The 25834-nt window shown below is 37.2% G+C and overlaps 1 protein-coding gene across 10 annotated transcripts in view, besides 1 other annotated feature; it reads right to left on the reverse strand.

Annotated features, from left to right (window-relative positions):
- The window catches only part of LPGAT1 (lysophosphatidylglycerol acyltransferase 1), an 87307-nt gene that overhangs the window by 21084 nt on the left and 40389 nt on the right, over window positions 1-25834 (reverse strand). For all 10 annotated transcript variants that reach the window (NM_014873.3, NM_001375841.1, NM_001375844.1 and 7 more), the window contains 3 exons: window positions 23092-23187; window positions 18689-18962; window positions 14378-14504 (listed from right to left, as the gene is read on the reverse strand). In NM_014873.3, the coding sequence (NP_055688.1) occupies window positions 14378-14504; window positions 18689-18962; window positions 23092-23187 (497 nt within the window). The remainder of the gene's footprint in view (window positions 1-14377; window positions 14505-18688; window positions 18963-23091; window positions 23188-25834) is intronic.
- Window positions 1023-1192: an enhancer, noted in NCBI's record as "experimental_3241 CRE fragment used in MPRA reporter constructs". NCBI's record gives its function as "activates a minimal promoter by MPRAs in K562 erythroleukemia cells, with activity observed for both the introgressed and non-introgressed 1:211938990 variant alleles {active_cell/tissue: K562}" and the evidence as "EXISTENCE:reporter gene assay evidence [ECO:0000049][PMID:34662402]".

The raw sequence follows: 25834 nt of genomic DNA on the forward strand, positions 1-25834 counted from the left end.
ATCAGAATATCTCCCAGCATTCAATTCCCAGAAGTTTTACTTTAAGCCATTATCCTGAGCTAAGCTGTTAGGCCTAACAACATACTAAAATGTAATATTTATAGCTTCCCCCTGGAACTATTAGAACAGTTTAAAAAAGAAATCACTCAGTTATCTGAAAATAAATTTCAGAAACTCAAATATGAACTTTTACCTACTTTAATACAGGAAATAAACCAAGGCAGGTATTTCCAAAGACTATACAGGTAGCAAACCTAGGGACATACCAGCAGATACTTTTGAGTGACTTTAAAGTTTGTGTAGATAGGAAGATGGCAAATACTTAGCACCTAGGCCACTGCTTCCCCTTCTCAGTCAAGGATAACTGAGCCCTCCTCTTGAGCCTTGTTCCTTGCAACAGTCAAGAGCCCTCAAAATGCCATTTGGAGATACAAACAATGAGATGGCATTTTTAGAACTGGAATTTATTATATCTTTATTAATTTTATATCCTTTGAGACACACAGTAAGATGCTTAACAAATGCTTGCTGATTGAGCAGAAGTGAACTCTCCGGTAAGCAAAATCTGACATTGGTTTCTCTGCTTAAGAGAATCACTATTACACTTTCCATGTGTCTAACGATGTTTTTAAACTTTTTATTTTGAAATAATTTCAGACTCAAAGAAAAGTTGTAAAAATAGTATAAAAATTCTCATATGCTTCACCCAGATTCCCCAAATGTTAATATTTCTCACATTTGCTTTACTTTGTCATTCTCTCTATCCATATCTATTTTTTCTGTCATTTTTTTCACTCAAATTTTGAGAATAAGTTAAATGAAAAGGTTAGACAAAAAGATCTAGGTAGTCCTTCCATTTCTCAGATTCAATGACTAAGTAAAAAATAAACAGCAATTATCAGTGAGAATTATGTTTAACCATTGTCCAATTAAAATTAAAACCCTAGGAATTTTTGTATTTGGGGGCATAATATTTCCAACAAAACTATATTAGAAAATAAGAGGTATTTTTGGAATAACAATGGCACTTTGCTAGACCTTAAGAAGACCTAAAAGTGAAAAAGACATGGTAAACCCCCAAAGAGTCAAGGAGGTGGGGAGAGAATTCTTTATTTCCAATGCTTATTTCCAGTTACTTACCAAATTATAATATTTTCAAGATCATATTATATCCACATTCATCTATTGATAATAACCCAGTAAATTAGCTTTGTCTGTTATTATTTTAGTTCTATGTGTATAGGTTAATTTTTCATATCTGGGCTAAGTCTAGACTGGGCTAAGGGATGCCCAGATAGCTGGTAAAACATTATTTCTAAGTGTGTCTGTGTGTGTGTTTCTGGAAGAAAATAGCATCTGAATTGATGAATTGAGTAAAGTGGACACTCCCTTCCCCCGCAATGTGGGAAGGCAACATTTAATCCATTGAGGGCCCAAGGAGAACAAAAAGGTAGAGGAAGGGCAAATTTACTCTCTCTGCTTGAGCTGGGCCATACATCTTCTCCTCCCCTTCAACATCAGTGCTCCTGGTTCCTGGGCTTTCAGACTGAGACTGGGACTTACACAGTTAGTACCCCAATTCTCAAGGCCTTTTGACTTGGACCAGGACTTACACCATCAGCTCCCCAGTTCTTCGGCTTTCAGACTTAGACTAGAACTGACAACGTTGGCTCCCTTGGTTCTCAGTCCTTCAGGCTTGGACCGGAACGACACCACTGGCTTTCCCAGGCCTCCAGCTTACAGACAGCAGACTGTGGGACTTCTCAGCAGCCATAATCACATGAGCCAATTTCTCATAATAAATCTCTTTCTACATATCTTTATACAGATGATCCTTGACTTACAACGGGGTTACATTGTGATAAACCCATTGTAAGTCGAAAATGCATTTAATACACCTAACCTACTGAACATCATAGCTTAACCTAGCATACCTTAAATGTGCTGAGAACATTTACATTAAACTACAGTTGGGCAATCATCTAACACAAAGCCTATTCTATAATAAAGTGTTTAATACTGCACACAGATGGGCATTTTGTAGAGATGATGGGATGTGAAAACAAAAAACACAATATCCAAAAAGTACTGGCAACACAGTACACTGTGGAGTATTGGTTGTTTACCCTCATGATCATGTGGCTGACTGGGAGCTGCAGCTCACTGCCACTGCCCAGTATCTCCAGAGAGTAGTGTACCGCATATCACTAGCCTGGGAAAAGATCAAAATTCAAGATTCAAATTGTGGTATCTACTGAACGTCTATTACTTTCACACCATCATAAAGTCAAAAAATCATGAAGTTAACTACCTTAAGTCAGGGACCATCTATATGTCCTATTGATTCTGTTTCTCTGGAGAACCCTGACTTATTATGGTAACATAAAAAATTTCTTTCATGTATACTTTTTCTAAATATCTGAAATTAGGCATATCTTCCAATTAGAGAATAGAAATTTTACCTTATTTGTAAGGATGATTCACCTGATTCTTCAACATCATTACAGAAACACAGAATTTGATTCACAATATAGCTAAACCTCAATTAAGACCACTTATTTCATGTCTCCATCCTGAATGACATCAAACTGAAAAGTTTTTTTCTTTTTTTCTTTTGAGACATGGTCTCACTCTGTCACCCAGGTTGGAATGCAGTGGCATGATCTTGGCTCACTGCAACCTCTGCCTCCTGGGTTCAAGTGATTCTCCTGCCTCAGCCTCCCAAGTAGCTGAGATTAGAGGCACATGTCACCATGCCCAGCTAATTTTTTTTTTAGTAGAGATGAGATTTCACTATGTTGGCCAGGCTGATCTCGAACTCCTGACCTCAAGTGATCCATTCACCTCGGCCTCCCAAAGTGCTGGGATTACAGGCATGAGCCATCATACCCAGCCTGAAAAGTTTTATTAGTTTTTTTTGAAGCAAAGGGGGAAAACCTGCTGGTGTGGAAAATAAAAACTTTTAGGCAGTGAACATTTAATAACAACAGTGAAGCAGAACTAAAAACTTGTTTAAAGTTAATATGTAATTTTCCATTTTCCAACTGGTAGCTCTGAACAGTGACTGATGGCGAAAAACATACAGACTTCTCTAGGGAAGAGCAGGATATGGAGGCAAAGCAATAAAAAACAAGTGATGATAAGAAAAGCAGAAAAGAAGAAGAAAATTATTAGATAGCTGAAGTAGAGATGAAATTATCAATAATTATAAGCAATGATAGAGAAAAGTCCTAGCATAAGAAAAACTAAAGATAGGACACTGTTTCCTTCTACTGGGGAAAAAATGAAACTATTAGCTCAAAAATCCTTAAAGGCAATATTATCATTAGGTGAGTAATTTTGGGGCTGGGGCTGAGGGTGGCAAAGACCTGAACATATATCATTACTGTACCCGAGGGTGTATACCTTAGAGTTACTCTCAGTTATTACAAAAAGTTGACCTAAAAGTTGGTCCCCAATATGTTGAATAACTGATTTTTACTATATTAATTTTATTTTACTTTGTTCTAACTTTTATGTCAAAAAAGAATTATGTAAATTAAAATCTCTTAAAGCTCAGTTTTAAATTATGGATAAAACACTAGAATATGAAAATCTAGACTATGTAATTTGAGTATTTCAATATCCTTGATTTAAAAGGGAAAAACCTATTTAGTATCTTATTAAATGGTATGCATTTGAAATGTGAGCTTATTAAATTTTTATACCTACCAGATGAAAATGCTTTTGTTGCAATTATTCAAATAGTTATTAAACCAAAATCCTAAATTCTGTGGGCAATTTCTTTTTTGAATTAGTTATTTTTAATTGAAGAATACATGCATATTGTAAAAAACACTCAAATAGTACAATGAAAAGTACGAGTCCCTCCCCAGAGGCACCCACTGTCAACAGTTGAGCTCTAACCACATGGCAGCCACTATGCTGCCTGCTCTTTTTTTGTGGGGCAGGGAAAGGAACAACATTTATCGTTTAGACTTTTGTTTGAAGTGCTGCCTGCCAAATGTCCAATTAAATTATAGCCAGTGCATTATTACATTGATTTTAAGATGTCTCCCAATTTCAGAGACGTTAATATGTGTCAAAACACATATCTCTATCGTGTGGTTTTCAGAGCTTAATTCTGGTATCTATGGTGTGACATTATCTCTATGAAATGAGCTTTGAATACCATTTTTATAATGCTCAAATACAAGAAATATCATTAGAAAATCATCCCAAATCCTCTTAAGCATATTAGACTGAGGGGAACAACTGCAATTTGAAGTAGGGTGGTAAGAGGACATTTGAGCAGGCCTGAAGGCAGTGATGGTGATTTTCATACAGATTTCCAAGGGAAGACTTCTCGTGGAGGAGGAAACAGTCAGTAGGAACATGAAGTAGGAATACGTTTGGGATGTTCAGTAACAGCAAGAAAGCCAGTATAGACACAGGGGAATGACTAAGGAGTAGAAGGAAGAGGTCAAATAAGGCCTTAGATACCACTCTAAGACTTCAGGGGTTTTTAGATGGGAAGCCATGATGGAATTCTGAGCCTAGCACAGACACAATTTGACTTTTAAAAGGAGCACTCTGGATACTATGTTGGAATTCTCCAGCGGACAAAGGTAAAAATAGGATGACACACTAGGAGCTTATGTAGTAATCTAGGAGCAGGGTAGAGGTGATAGTGGCTAGGACCAGGATGAAAAGAAGTGGTCAGGGGATATGTATTTAAATTTAGAAGCAAAAAGATTTCCTGACTGAGTGGATGTGGAATATGAGAGAAAAAGAGGAGCCATGGACGACCCCAAGGCTTCTGATCTAAGTGACAGGAAGGATGGAGGCTGCTATCAATAATGAGATGGTAAAGGCTATGAAGGAGTATATATTTTTAGGAAAATCCACAGTTCAGTTTGAGAGAGTGTTATGGGAAAGGGGTCCTGATCCAGCCCGCAAGAGAGGATTTTTGGATCTCGGGCAAGAATTCAGGGTGAGTCCATAGACTAAAGTGAAAGCAAATCTATAAAGAAAGTAGAGGAATAAAAGAATGGCTACTCCATAGACAGAGCAGCCTTGATGGCTGCTGGCTGCCCATTTTTATGGTTATTTCTTAATTATACGGTAAACAAGGGGTGGATTATTCATGCCTCCCCTTTTAGACCATATAAGGTAACTTCCTGACATTTCCATGGCATTTGTAAACTGTCATGGTGCTGGCAGGAGTGTAGCAGTGAGGAAAACCAGAGGTCACTCCTGTTCCCATCTTGATTTTGGTGGGTTTTAGCCAGCTTCTTTACTGCAGCCTGTTTTATCAGGAAGGTCTCTATGACCTGTATCTTGTGCCATAACCTCTTATCCTATGACTTAGAATGCCTTAACCACCTGGGAATGCAGCCCAGTAGGTCTCAGCCTTATTCTACCCAGCCCCTACTCAAGATGGAGTTGCTCTGGTTCAAATGCCTCTGACAAGAGGACTATTAGACATACTAGTGAAGGAGTCAAACACTCAGAAATAAAAATCTGTTAAGTATATTCCTTTGAAGAATACATGATATTTTTAATGCTCTCATAACAAAAAATAATACACAATATTTTATTTAGTCATCCCTCTACTAATGGACATTTAGATTATTTCTAATTTGTTACTCTTACAAAATATCTTGCAGTAATATCCTGTCTTTCTCTAGGATATATAGCCCCAAGTAGAACTGCTATGTCATAGATAATTTAAAATATTGCTAAACTGCTCTTCAGATTGGCTGCATCGATTTGTGTGTGTTAATTTCCCTAAAAGCTCACCAATATTTGATATTGATGAGTAAAAAATAGTATTTTGCCCTGTTTTGCATTTCCCTGATCTTTTCATATATTTTTATTTCTATAAACAATGAAAAGTCTTTGTGTCTTTTGTACATTTTTCTTCTGGGTTTTAAATACTATTATTGATTTGTAAAAACCATTGAGCTGTTTACATACATAGTCATGTGCCACATGACATTTCAGTCAACGACGGACTGCATATATGACAATGGTTCCCGTAGATTATAATGGAGCTGAAAAATTCCTGTTGCCTAGTGATGTCATAGTCATTGTAATGCCATAGCACAATTACTTTATTTTTAAAATAAATTTAGTGTAGCCTATGTGTACAGTGTTTATAAAGTCTACAGTAGTATAGGGTAATATCCTAGGCCTTCACATTCACTCATCACTCACTGACTCACTCAGAGCAACTCCCAGTCCTACTAGCTCCATATATAGTAGGCGTATCATTTTAAGACTCTTTTATACTGCCCAGGCACCGTGGCTCACACCTGTAACCCTAGCACTTTGGGAGGCCAAGGTGGGTGGATCACTTGACCCCAGGAGTTCAAGATCAGCTTGGACAACATGGTAAAGCCCCATCTCTACTAAAAATACAAAAATTACCTGAGCATGGTGGCACATGCCTATAATCCCAGCTACCCGAGAGGCTGAGGTGGGAGAATCACTTGAGCCCAGGAGGTGGAGGTTGCAGTAAGCTAAGATTGCGCCACTGCACTCCAGCCTGAGCAACAGAGAGAGAGACACTATCTCAAAAAAAAAAAAAAAACAACTTTTATACGGTATTTTTACTGTACCTTTTCTATGTTTAGATACACAAATACTTACCATTGTGGTCCAATTGCCTACAGTCTTCACTACAGTGATATGATGTACAGGTCTGCAGCCTAGAAGCAAAAGGCTATGCCATATAGCCTAGGTGTGTAGTAGGTTATACCATCTAGGTTTGTCTAAGTACACCCTATGATGTTCGTACAATGATGAAATCACCTAATTTCACATTTCTCAGAAGGTATCCCTGTCATTAAGTGACACATGACTGTATACTCAATACTTATTTTTGTTATGTGCACTTCAAACACTTTATTGTGTCTCTTGAACACTCTAGTTTTTAGATTTTTTTTTTAATTGGACATTTTATTTTTATTCACTTATTTTTATTATTATTATTTTTTTGAGACAGAGTCTCACTCTGTCACCCAGGCTGGAGTGCAGTGGCGCTATTTCAGCTCACTGCATCCTCCGCCTCCTGGGTTCAAGCAATTCTCATGACTCAGCCTCCCGAGTAGCTGGGATTACAGGCGCTCACCACCATACCAGCTAATTTTTTGTAGTTTTAGTACAGATGGGGTTACCACATTGGCCAGGCTGGTCTCAAACTCCTGACCTCAAGGGATCTGCCTGCCTCAGGCCTCCCAAAGTGCTGGGATTACAGGCGTGAGCGACCGTGCTGCCCAGCCTAGTTTTTAGTTTTGATGTACTCATATTTATCTTTTCCTTAATGACTTATGACTTCTGATTTCTGGGTCTTGTAAGGAAGGGGTACCCTACTTGAAGACATTAAGAGTCTCCTATATTTTCTTCAAATACTTTATTTTTATTTTTTAGAGAAACCCTGTTTCACTATGTTGCCCAGGCTAGCCTCAAACCCCTGGGCTCAAGCGATCCTTCTGAGTAGCTAGGAATACAGGCACGGGCCATTGCACCCACCCAAATACTTTAGGGTCCCATTATTGTTGTTGAGATAAAATCCACCGGGAATTTATTTTGGTATATGGTATGGAGTAAAATTCTAACTTTTCCTCCCATATTGTGAATCAACAGTCCCAAAGCCATTTATTGGATAGTTTGTCGTTTCTCCATTGATACGAAAGGGCTACTCAATCATAACGTGAGTTCACAAATAAATCTAGACCTGAACTTTCTAATCTCTCCATTGATGTGGACTTCCTCCTATAACTACACTGTTTTAATTACATTAGTGTAACTAAACTTGACATCTAGTAGGAAGAACTCCTTTGTTTTGTTCATCTTCAAAACTATCTTAGCTATTCATTTATCTTGACTCTCTCAAATGAATTTTAGAACCAAATTTTTGTCCAGTGTCTTGAAAAACCATCCCGAATTCTGTTTGGAATTACGTTAAATTTATAGGTTAATCTGGAAGAACTGTCATCTTTATAATATTGAGTCTTCCTCTCTGTGAACACAAGTATTATCTTTCCATATATTCAGGTCTTTCATGTTTTTACATTTTAGAGAATACACAATGAAATATTTACAAATAACATTATATGATGCCTGAGGCTTGCTTCAAAATAATCCACTGGGGTCTGAAAATAACGTAGAGGAAATAACATTGACCATAATTTGGCAATTGTCGAGGGGGTGTGATGTGCACATGAGATTTCATTTACAAGTCTGAAATTTTCTGTAATAAAAAGATTTTGAAGGAATAACTATTTCTGAAATCACAGCCCCTAAAATGTATAAAAACTCATGACTGTTTTGTTGTCTTAGGGAGTAAGGGTAAAAGCAGAAGGAAAGACCAAAATGATATATTAATCAAAAATACATACAGGTTTAGGCATAAGATTATGAAATATTATTCTCTGTTTTTAAGTTTTGGTAATTTTTCTCATAAATAACTTTTCCCTCATCTCTTTGACAATAATTCTCACTGTGCAGATGTAATTTTAATAATACTCTGCAAACTAATGTAGGCTATGTATGTGCCCAGCCATGGAAATTGCTAGATCACAGAGTATGTGCATTTTCACCTTAATAAGTATAGTCAATTAGTTCTCAAAGTGGTCACAGTAGATTATAATCTCATTAGCAGTATATATGAGATCACCTTTTCCCATATCGGTGTCAAAGTCACCATCTTTGATTTTTCCAAATCTGATCGGCTTGAAATGATATATCATTTCTTTTATCAATTACAAATACCCTAAAGCAAATATGTCAAAATGTTAATGTTTGTTTACCCTTGCTAGACAGCATATGTATCTTTAAAAAATATTAATATTTCTTTTCCAAATTAATTCCCCCTCCCCAAATTAAAATAAGTTATTTCCCAAAGTTCATACTTGAATGCCTTCTCCCAAGTAACCAAAGTCCTAATCAAGTTACACATGAAAACAACACCTCTGCTTTTAGTAATCTATCTATGCCACTACACTTATGGTTATATCTTTTCTCAAGATTTTAAACATGAAAAGATAAGCTACTTCTGCACAAGGATCGTTTTCTCTAACTCACTGTCCTAATTGAAGTGAAATGGACATTTATATCAAGGACAGACATTACTTTTGCCTTTACCCCTATAAATACTCTCCCTGTAATTAAAATCTAATCATGTTTAATTTTCCTATTAACCACTGAACAGCAGTGCACTGTGCCCACTACTTGCTTAGCAGGAATAAGCTGTCTTCCAGTTTGATAGAAATAAAAAGAGGAGAGGAGGAGGAAAAAGTTCTTTACTCTCAGATGTTTCCCTTAGGTAAGTCTTAGTTCTTTTAAAATAAGCATTACTTTTGAAAAAGTTCAATAATGTAGTTGTATGCATGCTAATAAAAATATTTACCTAGTTAAACAATAAATAATATTGGTAAGAAATGAATTTTTTAAAAAGCATCTTTTCTCTTAAAGTAATAAATGGCTGAGATACAATATATGGAGAATGCTATTTATAAACACCAGACTTACCAATAATCTATCATTCTTTATATATCTTAATAATGGTGCTTTATATTTACAAAGTGCTTTGTGTTTTTTAAAAGTCTTTTTTTTTTTTTTTTTTTTGAGACAGAGTCTTGATCTGTTGCTCAGGCTGGAGTACAGTGGCACAATCTCGGCTCACCACAACCTCCATCTCCCAGGTTCAAGAGATTCTCCCGTCTCAGACTCCTGAGTAGTACACCACACCTAGCTAATTTTTGTATTTTTGGTAGAGACGGGGTTTCACCATGTTGGCCGGGCTGATCTTGAACTCCGGCCTCAAGTGATCTGCCCATCTCAGCCTCCCAAAGTGCTGGAATTACAGGCATGAGCCACTGTGCACAGCCTGAAAGACTCTTTTACCTGTACATCATTTGCATCTCACAACAATGCATCCGCCAAAGTCAGGGCAACTTCTGGCCACCAGAGTCCCAGCATTAGCAAAGTTGCCTGGGCACTTAATCACCATTTGCCACAAATTTTCTGAGGAATATGCTCTAAATGCATGCCCTAAAAGTTCAATTTTTGAAACACAGCAATACTACCTATTTGTAAGACAGGCTCTAGTATACAACTCTGTCACAAATGTTTACTTTCTCATCTATGTGGTATTTTAAGTACTTCAGTAGTATTTTATATAAAAATAATGTGTATTTTATGGTGTTTCATATATAACATGTCATCTCTTCTAGAAATCCTAAAAACCAACATAAGCCTGAGTAGTAAATTAACGGAGAAAACTGCTATTGGAAGAAATAAACAGTTTCAGAGTATTTAAAATAAGTTATTACATTCTTTTGCTTTTTCCTAAGTGTCAGTACAGAAATTTCGAATCAAGAAAAACATTCTGCTCCACATTCTGGCAATCTAGATATTCTTTTTCTACTTAAATAATTTTTTTTTAAAAAAAAGAACTTATTAACACAGTATGAAGGGAGTTTTACTCTGTGGGAAAACGCCACTTTTGCTCAGAGATCTCCATATACTTGCTTGTCACATTATGTTCCAGTGAGGTACAGAACAGGTAGTGGAATTTATTTGGTAGCTTGGACTATAATTTATAAGAAGTGAAAGTAAATGTATTATAGAAAAATAAAATCTAGCCAGGCGTGGTGGCAGGTGCCTGCAAACCCAGCTATTTGTGAGGCTGAGGCAGGAGAATTGCTTGAACCCGCAAGGCAGAGGTTACAGTGAGCCGAGATTGTGCCACTGCATTCCAGCCTGAGTGACACAGCAAGACTCTGTCTCAAAATAAATAAATAAATAGACAAACCACTGATTAATGTTAAATAAATTATGCTAACTATATTGTTTCCCAAGTGAATTCTGACGGTAAGGAATGCTATTGCATAACAATGTAATATCCCAGCCACCCAGAGCCACATTTTGTGGCTCTCAGCAGACACCAAGATGTACTACATAGGAGAGGACAGTTATTGCCCTCTATGAAATCTACCTAAAATATAATAAAAGTATCTCAAATATATAGAAACTTATTATAGATTTAATACTTATGAATTGTTAACCTTTCTCTTAATCTGTACTTTCAACTGGGAGTTTCTCTTAGAATTGTTTCATGGCCGGGCGCAGTGGCTCATGCCTGTAATCCCAGCACTTTGGGAGGCCGAAGTGGGTGGATCACCTGAGGTCGGGAGTTCGAGACCAGCCTTACCAACATGGAGAAACTCCATCTCTACTAAAAATACAAAATTAGCCGGGCATGGTGGTGCATGCCTACTGTAATCCCAGCTACTCAGGAGGCTAAGGCAGGAGAATCGCTTGAACCTGGGAGGCGGAGGTTACGGTGAGTCGAGATCACACCATTGCACTCCAGCCTGGGCAACAAGAGCAAAATGCCATCTCAAAAAAAAAAAAAAAAAAGTGTTTCATTTAATTACTACTACCTATGAATTTGTTTTGATTTGATCCATAATAACTGCCTTTTAAGTGGTACTAATGTTCTAGGACTTATCTATGTTGGCTCTTTTTTTTTTCTTTTAATTACAGAACTCTAGGCTTCTCATGCTTGTCAGCTCTATAGATAACATTTTACCAACTACATTATTTCTTTTAAAATGGAGAAATTAAAATACATGAAATATCTTAAGTGGGATCTAATAAAAGCTGAGCAGGATGGATTAACTACTTTCTGACTGTCATATGTCACATTTCCCAAGATTACACTAAAAAACTAGCAACAGGCCAGGCGCATGGCTAAAGCACTTTGGAAGGCCGAGGCTGGCAGATCACTTGAGGTCAGGAGTTCGAGACCAGCCTGGCCAACATGGTGAAACCCAGCCTCTACTAATAATACAAAAATTAGCCAGGCATGGTGGTATGTGCCTGTAATCCCAGCTACTCGGGAGGCTGAGGCAGAAGAATTGCTTGAACCCAGGAGGTGGAGGTTGCAGTGCCCACTGCACTCTAGCCTGGGCGACAAAGTGAACCTGTGTCTCAAAAAAAAACAAACTAGCAATAGTACTGACTTGCCCAGCTATATACCAAAATCACTAAGTGATCACTTCAGTTAAATTCTCAAGAATGAGGGCTGCTTTATTTATTTATCTTTTTAAGTCTGCTAAGATGAAAACAAATCCTTTCTACATCATGTGAAACAAAATTGGCTGGTACCATATGGCTTAATGTTCTAGAGTTCTGGAGAAATTATGCTTAACTGCAGAAAAAAAAAAAAAACCTTCATGAATAGTTTTTCAAATCTCCCCATAGGTGAAGATAAGGAAGCCAACACGAAACAAAACTACAATTTTTTAGTGAACTTTATAGTTTCCAGACAACCTTTTCCTACACTTTGGGCACCCACTCCCCACTTTAAGCAGTTGATACTACCCAGTTTTTCTTGCCAACCTCCTCACATTACAAGAGAAAGGGATCTAATCCCAATTATTTATATTATTAACATTTGTATATATAATGTGATTTCTAATGCTGCATTTAAAAAATTTTATTGAAACACCTTGTCCTTGTTTAAAATTTTTAAAATATAACCAAATGAACGAAAATTCTGAATTAAAACCATTCTTTCTTTCCCTACGCCCCTTGGTGTCCTGATGGCCAAAAACAATATACGAGAAGTCACTCTACAGTTGATAGACACTATTCCTGGGAGCTGCTAAAGACATGGCCCAAATCCCCTCTCACAAGTTTCTTGCAAAACCACAGTACTATCCTGACACCAGGATACCTCTGTTCTTTCTTGCTGTTTTCATTTGCTCTCCATTTCTGAACACAGGTACTACCTCTCCTCTAATATTGGTTAGACACTAATCTTGATTAAACCCTGGGAAGAAAAGAAAAGTATATCTCCTCACTTGTCCTTGGTAGTTGCCACGGGTTGAGGTCTTTCACATGGAAACATAGTAAGGCTAAAAGGCCTATAAAGTGATCAAAACCAAACAGGCCTTATCATGAAGCCTATGCTTCATACAGATACCTGTCATATTTATATAAACTCCTTAAAAAAACTACATTAAAAAAACAAGAAGCTAGCATAGATAGTCAATAAATGTTCTTGCTACTGTTGTTTATGCAAATGACATATTAAAATGTTAAAAATTTAAAAGTGTAAGTCATAGCAAAATTACCAATTTAATCATTCAGAAAATCTTATGTGGATTAATGATTTAAAAACAAATTCAATTTCTATCACAGGTGTGTGAACCAGAGCAACTCAATCCTGAATACGGGCTGGGTAAAATGAGGCTGAGACCTACTCGGCTGCATTCCCAGATAGTTAAGGCATTCTAAGTCACAGGATGAGACAGGAGGTCAGCACAAAATACAGGTCATAAAGACCTTGCTAATAAAATAGGTTGCAGTAAAGAAACCAGCTAAAAACCACCAAAAGCAAGATGGCCACAAGAGTGACCTTTGGTCATCCTCACTGCTATGCTCCCACCAGTGCCATCACAGTTTACAAATACCATGGCAACATCAGGAAGTTACCCTATATAGTCTAAAAAGGAAAGGCACGAGGCTGGGCGCGGTGGCTCACGCCTGTAATCCCAGCACTTTGGGAGGCCGACGCAGGCGGATCACAAGGTCAGGAGATCGAGACCATCCTGGCGAACACAGTGAAACCCCGTCTCTACTAAAAATACAAAAAATTAGCCGGGCATGGTGGCGGGCGCCTGTAGTCCCAGTTACTCGGGAGGCTGAGGCAGGAGAATGGCGTGAAGCCGGGAGGCGGAGCTTGCAGTGAGCCGAGATCGCGCCACTGCACTCCAGTCTGGGCCACAGACTGAGACTCTGTCTCAAAAAAAAAAAAAAAAAAAAAAAAAAAAAAAAAGGAAGGCATGAATAATCCACCCATTATTTAGCATATCATCAAGAAAGAACCATAAAAATGGGCAACCAGCAGCCCCCAGGGCTGTTCTGTCTATGCAGTGGCCATTCTTTTATTCCTTTACTTTCCTAATAAACTTGCTTTCACTTTACAGACTCGCCCTGAATTCTTTCTTGCTCAAGATCCAAGAACCTTCTCTTGGGGTCTGGATCAGGACCCCTTTTCTGTAATATCTCTATTAATACATACCTTCTTAACCCAAGTGAGTATATATTTATCCTTGATGTTTGCCCTTTGAGTTAACTTTTACTCAAAAGTGTCAGGCAACCGAATAATCATAGTGCCTCTAGAATATCACTTTTAGAGATCTTTATAACTGAGCGAAATACCTACTTCAAATGATATTTTAATATTAAAAATGCAGCATAAGAATGAACTTGAGCCAACTATTTCTACTGTGTGATTAAAAACTAAATATTAAGACATTCATACTATTCTGAGGTAGTATTGTTGGATATATACTGAGTACTAATATAGAATTCTTACCTGTAATGTACATGTGTGACTGTTGGTTTCCTGTATCCAAGGATCCAGGTTTGAATATCTATAGGTTCAGCTTTGGGATAAGCTATCGTTGTATCTATTATCCACTGGAGGCCTTTTGATTTGCTGTCTGAGAACAAAGAAAAAAAGACTTAAAATTAAATCAACTTTTATATTATCTGCAGCAAATAACATAGATTACTTGACCAGTGTAAGATATATCACTATACCTTTTGCATTAAGAAAAATTCTAAGGATGAACTTTGGTGCTCCTGTTCTATAACACTCTTCAGAAGAAATTAAGGATTACTTATGTTATAAAATGGATGAACCTCGAAACAAAGAACACTATTATCTACTGGACATGCACCATTCAAGTATCTGATACAATTATGCACTATGAAGGTCTAATTTATATTTAACACTCCTATAAAAAACTAACCTATGAAAAGGTCAGAAGCTAAACTCACATCACAGAAACAAAAAACAGACTTCGAAACAAAACAAAATCATTCACTAAATATAATATAATATAATATAAACACCAAGACTTATGATACTGAGGATGGGCATTAATAAATATTGGAACATGGCAACAAAATTAAGCATTCTTTATGTACACATTTTGTTGCTGCTCTTGTTTAAGACAAAGCAGGCTGGGTGCAGTAGCTCACGCCTATAATCCCAGAACTTTGGAAGGCAGAGGTGGGCGGATCACCTGAGGTCAGGAATTCAAGACTGGCCTGGCCAGCGTGGTGAAACCCCATCTCTACTAAAAATACAAAAAATTAGCCGGGTATGGTGGTGCATGCCTGTAGTCCCAGCTGTTTGGGAGGCTGAGGCAGGGCAATCACTTGAACCCAGGAGGTGGAGGTTGCAGTGAGCCAAGATCGCCATCACTGCACTCCAGCCTGGGCACAAGAGCAAAACTCCGTCTCAAAATAAATAAATAAATAAATAAATAAATAAACATAAAAAATTGGCTGGGTGCAGTGGCTCACGCCTGTAATCCCAGCACTTTGGGAGGCTGAGGCGGGCAGATCACCTGAGGTAGGAAGTTCGAGACCAGTCTAACCAACATGGAGAAACCCCATCTCTACTAAAAATACAAAATTAGCCAGGCATGGTAGTGCACGCTTGTAATCCCAGCTACTCGGGAGGCTGAGGCAGGAGAATCGCTTGAACCCAGGAGGTGGAGGTTGTAGTGAGCCGAGATCGCACCATTGCACTCCAGCCTGGGCAACAAGAGTGAAACTCCATCTCAAAAAGATAAAATACATAAAAAATAATTAATAAATAAATAAAGCAAAATATCTCCCTCAGTTTTAGCAAGAGTTATATACACAGAAAGCAATAAAGCTTCCTGCCCTTTGGAAGGTACAACTGGTGACTACTGTTGTAGAGAGAGGATGGTAAGTTCTGCTAAGTTTGATCCTTTGCACACTGTTTTTATCCCAGCATGGGGTACAAAGGTGAGCGAGAACTGAGAGGGGAAACATCACAGAGGATACTGATGGCCAGACTTTAGAGTATAATGGTCCATTCTTTATTTGAAGTATGTAAGAAATCCCTAAAAAAAGAGAACTAATTTTCAAGCATAAGTTCAAATGTGCATTAGGAATCAATGATATATTACTTTTGTATGTCAAATAATTTAAAACTGGCCTTAAATTCTGTAAAGATTTTAGAATAACATTGTGAAGGAGAAAAATATACTTGTAAAACAAGTAAAAAATTAATTTTTAAATAACATATTGCTAAATCAATGGAGTTTATGTAAAGAAACACACTTTACCAAGCTACCAATGATATACATGCTGAAATGTTTAGGAGTAAAGTATACTAATGAAGTTTATTTTTAGACACATTAAAAAATGAAACAACCAAGATGGATTAATGGATAGATAGAAGGATGAAGAGATAATCTAGTTAGTCAGCTCACAGATATCCACTGCAAAATTCTTTCAACTCTTATGTATGTTTGAAAATTTTTATAATTAAATGATGAGAAAAAACACCAAAATTCAGTTTAATATCTGTTAAATCATGTGATAACAAAAATACTAATCCTTTTAATCAGACAGAACTTAATTTTGGTATATATGTATGCATCACATATTAAACACAAAGGCATGGTTTGCGTATACATGGCATAAAATGCTAGTGAATATAAATGCAAAAGAAAATAAAATGCAAAATACCAAAATATGGAAAAGAAAATAATATAGGTAAAACTAGTTTTCAAGTACACTTATAATTTTTCTTCTAAACAGGTAGAATGAAAAGCTTTCAGGTAGGATTAAAAAATAAACTACTCTGCTTTAGTTATAAACTAGTTCTCTGTAAAAGAAAACAACCATTTTTCTTCACTATTATGCAGTCAGTATAACAACTGCCCCTACATTTGAGATCTAGACCACTACAGGGTATTGACTGGGTGGAACTATTTTAGAACAGCAGTCTTTATTAGTGCAACTAATCCTGTTTGGAAGACATTTGCCTTCAAGCTTTGGCTCGGCTGCCATTGCCACAGTGTCTCTCCAGTAGTGAAACTATTCTGAACTTTCCTTTTCTATTAAAAGACTCTTTCAATTTGTCTTTTTAATAGATGATGAAAGATTAAGAGAGCTGACTGCCAAGCAGCTGCTTGGGAAAAACAAATAAAAGGAAAACTCAGTTAAATCTGAGTTAAATCACAGACATTATTTCTACGTCTGGTCCTGATTGCCACTTAAAAACACATTGTTTCTGAGGGCCAATCATTTCAATTCTTATTTTATTTTATTTAAAGAATATGAATAGAAATAGCAAAATACTGCAAAGGAAACAGGCCTAGTGAATGCCTTTCAGCTTTCTAACTTATAATCAGACTTTCACAGTAGTATCTTAGATAGCTTGTTCAAAACAGTCTCCATGCTATGGGCACAAATATCTTCTGCAAAACTTTGTAATTTACCAGACTATCTGCAAGATAGTTGCATCTCTGAGAATGATTTGCCTTTTCCTGGTGAGAAGGTAATACATACATATTATTTTTAAAAATGGAAAATTCAGAAAAGCATTAATAAATAGAGAAAAATAATACATAATGTTACAACTCAGAAAAGCAATCACTGCTAACATTTTGGTGTCTTTCCTTTCACGCATTTCCTACTGCCTTGTTGTTTACAGACTTGAATTCAAATCGTTTTCATAAGAGTTGTATGTTTGTCCACCCTATTAACATAAGAGCACAAACGTTTTTCCAAGCCAATACAAACACTCCATAAACATCATTTGTAACAGCTGTGTTGTATTCCGTTGTATGGATATTTGATAATTACTAATCCATTCTCATTTCTGGCTAATTCCAATTTTTTGGCTATTATAAATAATTGGCTATTATAAATAATCTGTAATAAACTTCTTTGCCTGCATTTCAGATTATTTCCTTTTGATAAATATTTGCAGTGGAATAACTGAGTCATTTATTAACACTTAATGCTCTTAATACTATCAAATTGCATTAAATTAGTTCTCTGCATTAAAAACAAACAAGGCTGGACATGGTGGCTTACACCTATACTCCCAGCACTCTGGGAGGCCAAGGCAGGAGTATCACTTCAGGTTAGGGGTCTGACACTAGTCTGGTCAACACAGTGAGACCCCATCTCTACAAAACAACTAAAGAATTAGCCAGGCATGGTGGCATGTGCCTACAACCCCAGCTACTCAGGAGGTTGAGGTGGGAAGATCGCTTGAGCCCAGGAATTCAAGACTACGGTGAGCTATGATCATACCACTGCACTCCAGCCTGGACAACAGAGCAAGACTGTCTCCCAAGAAAACCCAGAAAAAAAACAAAAACAACAACAACAAGAAAAACCCCAGAAAACCAAAAAGCTTTCTCAATTTGATAAATGAAAATATGTATTATTTGATAAATGAAAAGATTAGTTTTTCAAACATGTTATTTCTATAGTTATATCTTTTAGCCTAGCAATTCCACTTCTAGGAATCTGTACTACAGAAATAGTTCCACCAATATGTAAAGATGTTTATAAGAATGTTTACTGCAGCGGTGGGAATGGCTCCGTATAAGTAGGACAGGAGAAAGATATCTTTGACTTTACGCATTTCTGTATTATTTGAGTAAATTATTATAAGCATGGACTACTTTTGTAAATGGAAACTTTTTTAAAAAATTACAGTTTCATCTTCTCCCTATTATTTTTAACAAAAATTATAAATATAAAAAAGAACAATGATCATCTTCTGTAACTCCAGAAAATCCTTTAACTCCAACAAGGTAAAAAATGCTAAAAACCATCATACCTAATTCTTTAGCATCTCCTCCTGCTGGACTTCCATTTTTCTGTTGTGCTACAAGTGCATTCAAAATAATTTTTGTTGCCCCAGACCTTGGCAGAGTAACATTTGTAAGAAATGGCAAGTTATTTTTCTTGGCAAATGCCTGACTTGTTTCTCGCCTCTTCCTGAGGAAGCCCCCTTCTGGAAACAAAACAATCCATTTTCGATCTCTGCTCCTGTAATTATTTTCTAAGTGCTTCTTGAGAAGCAGCAGCTGTTGGTCACGATAAGATCTTCCCTAGAAGGTACACACACACGTAATAAGTACAGGTATATCCAAAATTAAAATGCCATAAAATTAAACAGAAATTACAGCTTCTAAATTAAAATCCAATCACAGAATAGAATAGTGATTCCCCCACCCCACCCCAACTTACTGCCCTTTTTGACCACAGGGGTAAAAAGAGAGAAGTTATTAGCATTTATATAAATAAACCTTTCTTTCTGAAGGAAAAGGAAATTGTTCTGATTGCCCTTGAAAGTGCAGTCATTCATCAATTCAGTCACTACTTACTGAGTGCCTGCTATGTGCCACGCATTGTCCTAGGCACTAGACATAGAGGAGGAAATAAAGAGACTTTCATGGAGCTTACATTCTAGTTTGGGAAGATGGTAAATGTGGAGTGCAAATTCAACTAGTAATATGTGTTAGGAAGAAAACAGTAAAAGGATAGAAAGGGTCAAGAGGGTCAGAGAAAGCTGCTATGAGGAGGTGACATTTGAGCAGAACTGATAATGTGAGGGAATAAGTCATGTGAAGATGCAAGCCATAATATTCCAGGTGACAAAACAAAAAGGACAAAGGTCATTTGGTGGGAACGAGTATGGCATGTTCAAAGAACAGCACCAAGGCCAGTGTGGCTGAAGTGTGATAAACAAGGAAGTCAGGGGTAGGAAATGAAGCTGCAGAGGGAGGTGGAGACCAAATGAGAAAAGCCTTATGCATGGTAAGTAGTTTTGGAGAGGACATCTTTGGATAGTTTTGAACAAGGAAGTGTTATAATCTTATTTCTGTTTAAAAAAATCTGACCAGCCTGGGCAACATGGTGAAACCCCGTCTATACAAAAAATACAAAAATTAGCTGGGTGCGATGGCACATTTAGTGGTCCCAGCTACTCAGGAGGCTGAGGCAGGAGGATCACTTGTGCCCACAAGTTCGAGGATGCAGTGAGCCCTGATGGTACTACTGTACTCCAGCCTGGGTGATAGAGTGAGACCCTGTCTCAAAAAAAAAAAAAAAAAGAAAAAAGAAAGAAAATCTGCTGGTTCCTGTGACCAAAAGACCACAGGAGATAAGTTAGAAGACTTGCAGTATTCCACACAAGGGAATTTGATGAGATTCAATTATATTGTATTGATAACAAGTAGTTACATTTAGGAAAAATGTGAAAGTAAAGCTAAAAAAGACATTCTAATGGACTGTATCTTAGTTGAGAGGGAAAGAGAGAAAAGAAGATGACCTGAAGTCTAAAAAGAAGAATCCAGAAAAATTTGTAGGAAGGCCCAAAGCTTACAACTAAATATCACAAAGGTTCTTTCTTTTTTTTTTTTTTTTTGAGACAGAGTCTCGCTCTGTTGCCCAGGCTGGAGTGCAGTGGTGCGATCTCGGGTCACTGCAAGCTCTGCCTCCCGGGTTCACGCCATTCTCCTGCCTCAGCCTCCCGAGTAGCTGGGACTACAGGCGCCTGCCACCACACCCGGCTAATTTTTTTTGTTTTTAGTAGAGATGGGATTTCACCGTGTTAGCCAGGATGGTCTCGATCTCCTGACCTTGTGATCTGCCCCCCTTGGCCTCCCAAAGTGCTGGGATTACAGGCGTGAGCCACTGCGCCCAGCCGGTTCTTTCTTTCAGTGTGATCAGTTTGCCAACATTTTCCAGCCAACAAAATTACAGAAACTCCTCAAAATAATTAGTATGCTTTCAGTCTTTAGATCAAATGTATCCCAAATGCAAAACATGTAAGACATTTTGTTAGTCAGTTTGCTGAAGTGAACTGATTATGATTAAGATAGCTATTAAGTTCTCAAGATTATACGTAAAATATTTTTACTATTCTTGGAAAAGCTTGTCAAAATGGTCTAGTAGCAAAGTCTCAAGAGAATTTTTCTTTTAAACATTAATGCTTTTTCCCTTCCTTCCCCTCATGTTATAGATTTTTATTACTAATCTATCGGGGAAAAACACGTTGCTCTTTAGAAATAAATTTGTAAACTTTCCAGAAACTTCGAAATATAATCTTTATGTATGCAAAACTTCACATAGTAATCACAAGAAAATATTTTGGAGTACCTAATTTTCAACTTTTATCTAAAAGTACACCGATAATCTAGTATAATTTAGCCTCTTTTTTTTTTTTTTGAGATGGAATCTTGCTGTGTCACCCAGGCTGGAGTGCAGTGACGCAATCTCGGCCCACTGCAACCTCTGCCTCCCAGGTTCAAGCGATTCTCCTGCCTCAGCCTCCCAAGTAGCTGGGACTACAGGTTCATGCTACCATGCCCAGCCAATTTTTGTATCTTTAGTAGAAACAGGCCTTCACCATGTTGGCCAGGCTGGCCTCGAACTCCTGGCCTCAAGCAATCTGTCCACCTCGGCCTCCCAAAGTGCTGGGATTACAGGCATGAGCCACCGAGCCCAGCCCCTCTTCTTGATGCCTGATGATCATCATTAGAATCAACTGTTACACTACACTGTAAATTCAATTATTTCCTAAAGCTGGAAATGAGGTAAGGTGCTCAGCTAGCTTTTCGGATCCCTGAGACTGCTAAGCTTTCTAATTGTTGGTTCCGCTGCCTTCTCTGAGCTATTACACTAGGATCTTTGTTAAGTTGTCCTGATCAGTTTATTTTGTCTTGACCTTGTGTCCACTCCCCATTGCCACTTCTTGTGGTTCCAGGGTATGCTTATATTTGTTTCTCTGCTCAGAAGAACAAAGGATGTTTCCAAAATGAAATGATATAATGTCCAGTACATAAAACTGTCTGGAGTAAAGTACATGTGTTTTGTGACACTTATTTTCACAGAACTTAGAAGTTTCTCTACTCAATTCCAGCTTATTTCTGAATTTGTGGTTCTTGGAAAAGGCTTAATTAGATTCACCAATTATTCATTAAGTAATAATTATGTGCAAAGCACGGCACAATCCAGGTTGTTAAATATGTAAACACCAAATAACTGTGGTATTGTCATGCATAAAAGCTCGTACATACCATATTTCAGTTATCCATTCTGGTGAAAATAAAGCATATAATACTAGTAACAAGTCAAGAAAATAATGTAGTGCTGATAAGAGGCTATCATTCTTCTTCCTACACTAAACTATTCCTAATGCTTGGGACTTCCCAATTCACCTTCCTCCATCAAATCCATACCTATTCTTTAAAACTTGTGCCAAATATCATCTTCTCTGAAGTTTTTCTGGATTCACATAAAACTGATATACTTATTTTTCCTACTATGAATTCCCAAAACATCTCCCATTATTATTATTACATTAACTTATTTATTAATTTATTTAATAATCTGCCTACTAGTAATTTAGATATCTACTATATTATACAACAGTGCCTTGTAAATAAAAGTAATAGTGATACAATAGTAGTAATCAAGATAAAAATGATGATGAAGGTAGTAGGCACTGTTCTGAGTGCTTTATAGCTATTACTTCATTTAATCCCCACAACAACCATTGTGGGGGATACTACATATTATTCAAGTTTGGAAAACAAGAAACTTGAGGATTTAAATAATTTGCCCAATTCACATAGCTAAGAAACTGAATAGTGGGGAATGTTTACTAAACTAAAAATGTACCTTCTAAATGGGAGAAGAGTAGAGATTAGAATATTTGCATTTTAAGTATTTTAATACTTATCCATACTCAAATTTAGATTGAAATAAATGGTTAGGGAACAAAGATTCCGAGAAAGAGCTCCCTGAGCCTGGCACAGTGGCCAGTGGCTCACACTTGTAATCCCAGCACTCTGGGAGGCCAGGCGGGTGGATCACTTGTGGTCAGGAGTTTGAGACCCTAACCAACACAGTGAAACCCCATCTCTACTAAAAATACAAAAATTAGCTGGGCGTAGTGGCATGCCTATAGTCCCAGCTACTCCAAAGGCTGAGGCATGAGAATCACTTGAACCCAGGAAGTGGAGGTTACAGTGAGCCGAGATGGTGCCAATGCACGCTAGCCTGGGCGACAGAGCGAGACTCTGTCTCTCAAAAAAAAAAAAAAAAAAAAGCTCCCTAAGACTGGTTAGAAGCAGCCCTACCTATTATAATTGGTTTTGTTATACCTCTTTTTATAATCAAGAATCAATTTGACCAGGCTATCACTGCGGGGAAAAAGTGCTCATTACTTACCTGTCTTATAAAGAAGTCTCCATGAACTAGAGAAACAATTCCAAAGTTTGTGTACTTAAAAATATGATCCATCAACCACATCATCTGAGCAACAACCTAAAATATTTAAAAGCAAGAAATAATATTGGATAGAAGAAACCTGACTATAGTTGAGCTGAGTCTCCAAGCTTTAAATATAATCATCCAAGCATACTTTTAATTAACCAAAATATCTTAAGTCTAACTCTATTTCTACAAACAAAGCACAGTTACTAATAGTGTCTACATGAAAAATTACAGGTCTTGATTCCAAGTCTTCGAATCCTAAGTCACAGGTACATATATCACTATATAAAAAATGAAACTCAATTAACTTCTTAAATTTGGACTTAATGATTTCAAATTTGTTCTACCCCAAAGTCTCTGATAATTCTTATATAACTTACAAAATTATTTTGAAACAATATAATAAAATGGTTAAGTTATCAAACAAGACTATATATTTAATGAACATTCACTGTGGCTTTATAAAATCTGAGTGTAGCTTCATGGCAAAGTATAAAAATGTAGTGTCCCAAATAAAACATTTAAAAATTAATAGAATGATTTACATATTCTATTATGAAGAATATTTATTAGTTTATGTAAAATCATGGTCTTTGCCAGGATAAAAATATTTGTAGTGCCTCAGTCCTTAAACAGAAAAATATTATCCACTGCTGATAAGAGTTAATACCAATATTGAGGGCAGAAGACTTTCTTTCACGCAAATTTAAAAATTAAAACTACAGGCCAGGCACAGTGGCTCACGCCTGTAATCCCAGCACTTTAGGAGGCAGAGGCAGGTGGATCACTTGAGGTCAGGAGTTTAAGACCAGCCTGGCCAAAATGGTGAAACCCCATCTCTACTAAAATACAAAAATTAGCCAGGCGTGGTGGTGCGTGCCTGTAATCCCAGCTACTCGGGAGGTTGAGGCAGGAGAATTGCTTGAACCCGGGAGGCACAGGTTGCAGTGAGCCAAGATCGAGCCGCTGCACTCCAGCCTGGGTGACAGAGAGAGACTCTTTATTAAAAAAAAAAAAAAAATTAAAAGTACAAACGGGATCTAATTAATGAATCGGTTAATTGTTCTTTCCTGCTGAGGAAATAGCATTCCTTGTTATAAGCCTTAACTAAAGTGAAAGCTACAACCTCAGTCAAGAATGCAATAAGCTCTACTTTGGTTTCCCAGGGGAACAGTAGATGTAAACATCATCTCTAAGAACCAACTGATGTGAACCTACACATATGGAAAAAACTAAAACACTGATATCCATGTGCTGCTTTTATAAAAGCATTATAAAAGCCCACAGATGATATAATATTACAGCTTCTGCCTTAGTTTTCCAGCTACACAACTCCTACTCCATCAGCTTTACAATATTAAATCTTTTTTTAAAAATGAAGATATATGCCTAGTAAAGAAAGAACTGATTCCTCAATCAATTAATATAGAGTAAGATAATCACCAGCATCCCATCTTGTTTTGCTTTGCAATGATGATTACAGTACTATGTTTAAATAAGCTGAGATTTGGACTAAATGAAATTTGTTGAACAGTGTCCCCAAAACAAACAAAAAGCAGTGGATTCAACCTATAAAGCATTTTAGCTTTAGATACATTAAGAAGTGTAGTTGTAATTTATTGACTTCTGGGTTTTAAATGCCAAATAACTAGCTTTTATATTTAACCTTTCATTCATGGTGGATTTATCTCTTCAGTTAGAAGGGTCACTTAAAACATAAATTCAGTAAAGATACCCAAACTATTTCCTGAGATTTGTAAGGACAGCTCTGTTCCAACTTATTTTAGGGGAAATGTTATAAGTCAATAAATGTTTATAAAACATTTAATAAAGTTCTTTTGACAGAAATAAAAATTCTTAGTTTTATCATAAATTGTCATAAAAGGCCAAGACAATTCACAGACACTTATTATAAGGGTACCAGGCTGGGCACGATGGCTCACGCCTATAATCCCAGCACTTTGGGAGGCTGAGGTGGGCGGATCACGAGGTCAAGAGATCGAGACCATCCTGGTCAACCTCGTCTCTACTAAAAATACAAAAATTAGCCGGGTGTGGTGGCGGACACCTGTAGTCCCAGCTACTCAGGAGAACTGAGGCAGGAGAACTGCCTGAACCCAGGAGGCGGAGGTTGCAGTGAGCTGAAATGGCACCACTGCACTCCAGCCTGGCGACAAAGCAAGACTCTGTCTCAAAAAAAAAAAAAAAGTACCAACACTTTCAGAAAACACAATTAATCCTTTGTTTCATATTCTTCAAAAGAAGGATGAGTAAACATAAGCTGCCTAAATCAACTCTGTCAATGTTTGATAGGTCTGTCCCTCAGAACTTTTCCATTATTTCTAAGAGACAAAATCAATCTATATCAATTATTCTTTATCTGGATGCACAGATTTTCTACGTATCAAAACATCGTCTAGAGACTTAAATGACTGCACTCTTTCTGTCCTTTTGAAATTATAATAAGGTCAATGGTTTTCCATTGGGTGAGTATGGAAACTGCAGGATAATTTTGGTCCTTGTGACAACAAGGACTAAGGAGTGCTACTAGCATTTAGTGTGTGGCAGTTGGGTACACAAAACGTCTGGCAATGCCCAGGACAGTTCTCAGCAACACTGTTGTCCTATTAAAATGCCAACAGTACTCCCACTGAGAAACTAATGGGGGCTTCAAGAAGTCCCCTGAATTCAAAAAGCT

The sequence above is a fragment of the Homo sapiens genome, chromosome 1, assembly GCF_000001405.40.
Source record: "Homo sapiens chromosome 1, GRCh38.p14 Primary Assembly".
Classification (NCBI taxonomy): domain Eukaryota; kingdom Metazoa; phylum Chordata; class Mammalia; order Primates; family Hominidae; genus Homo; species Homo sapiens.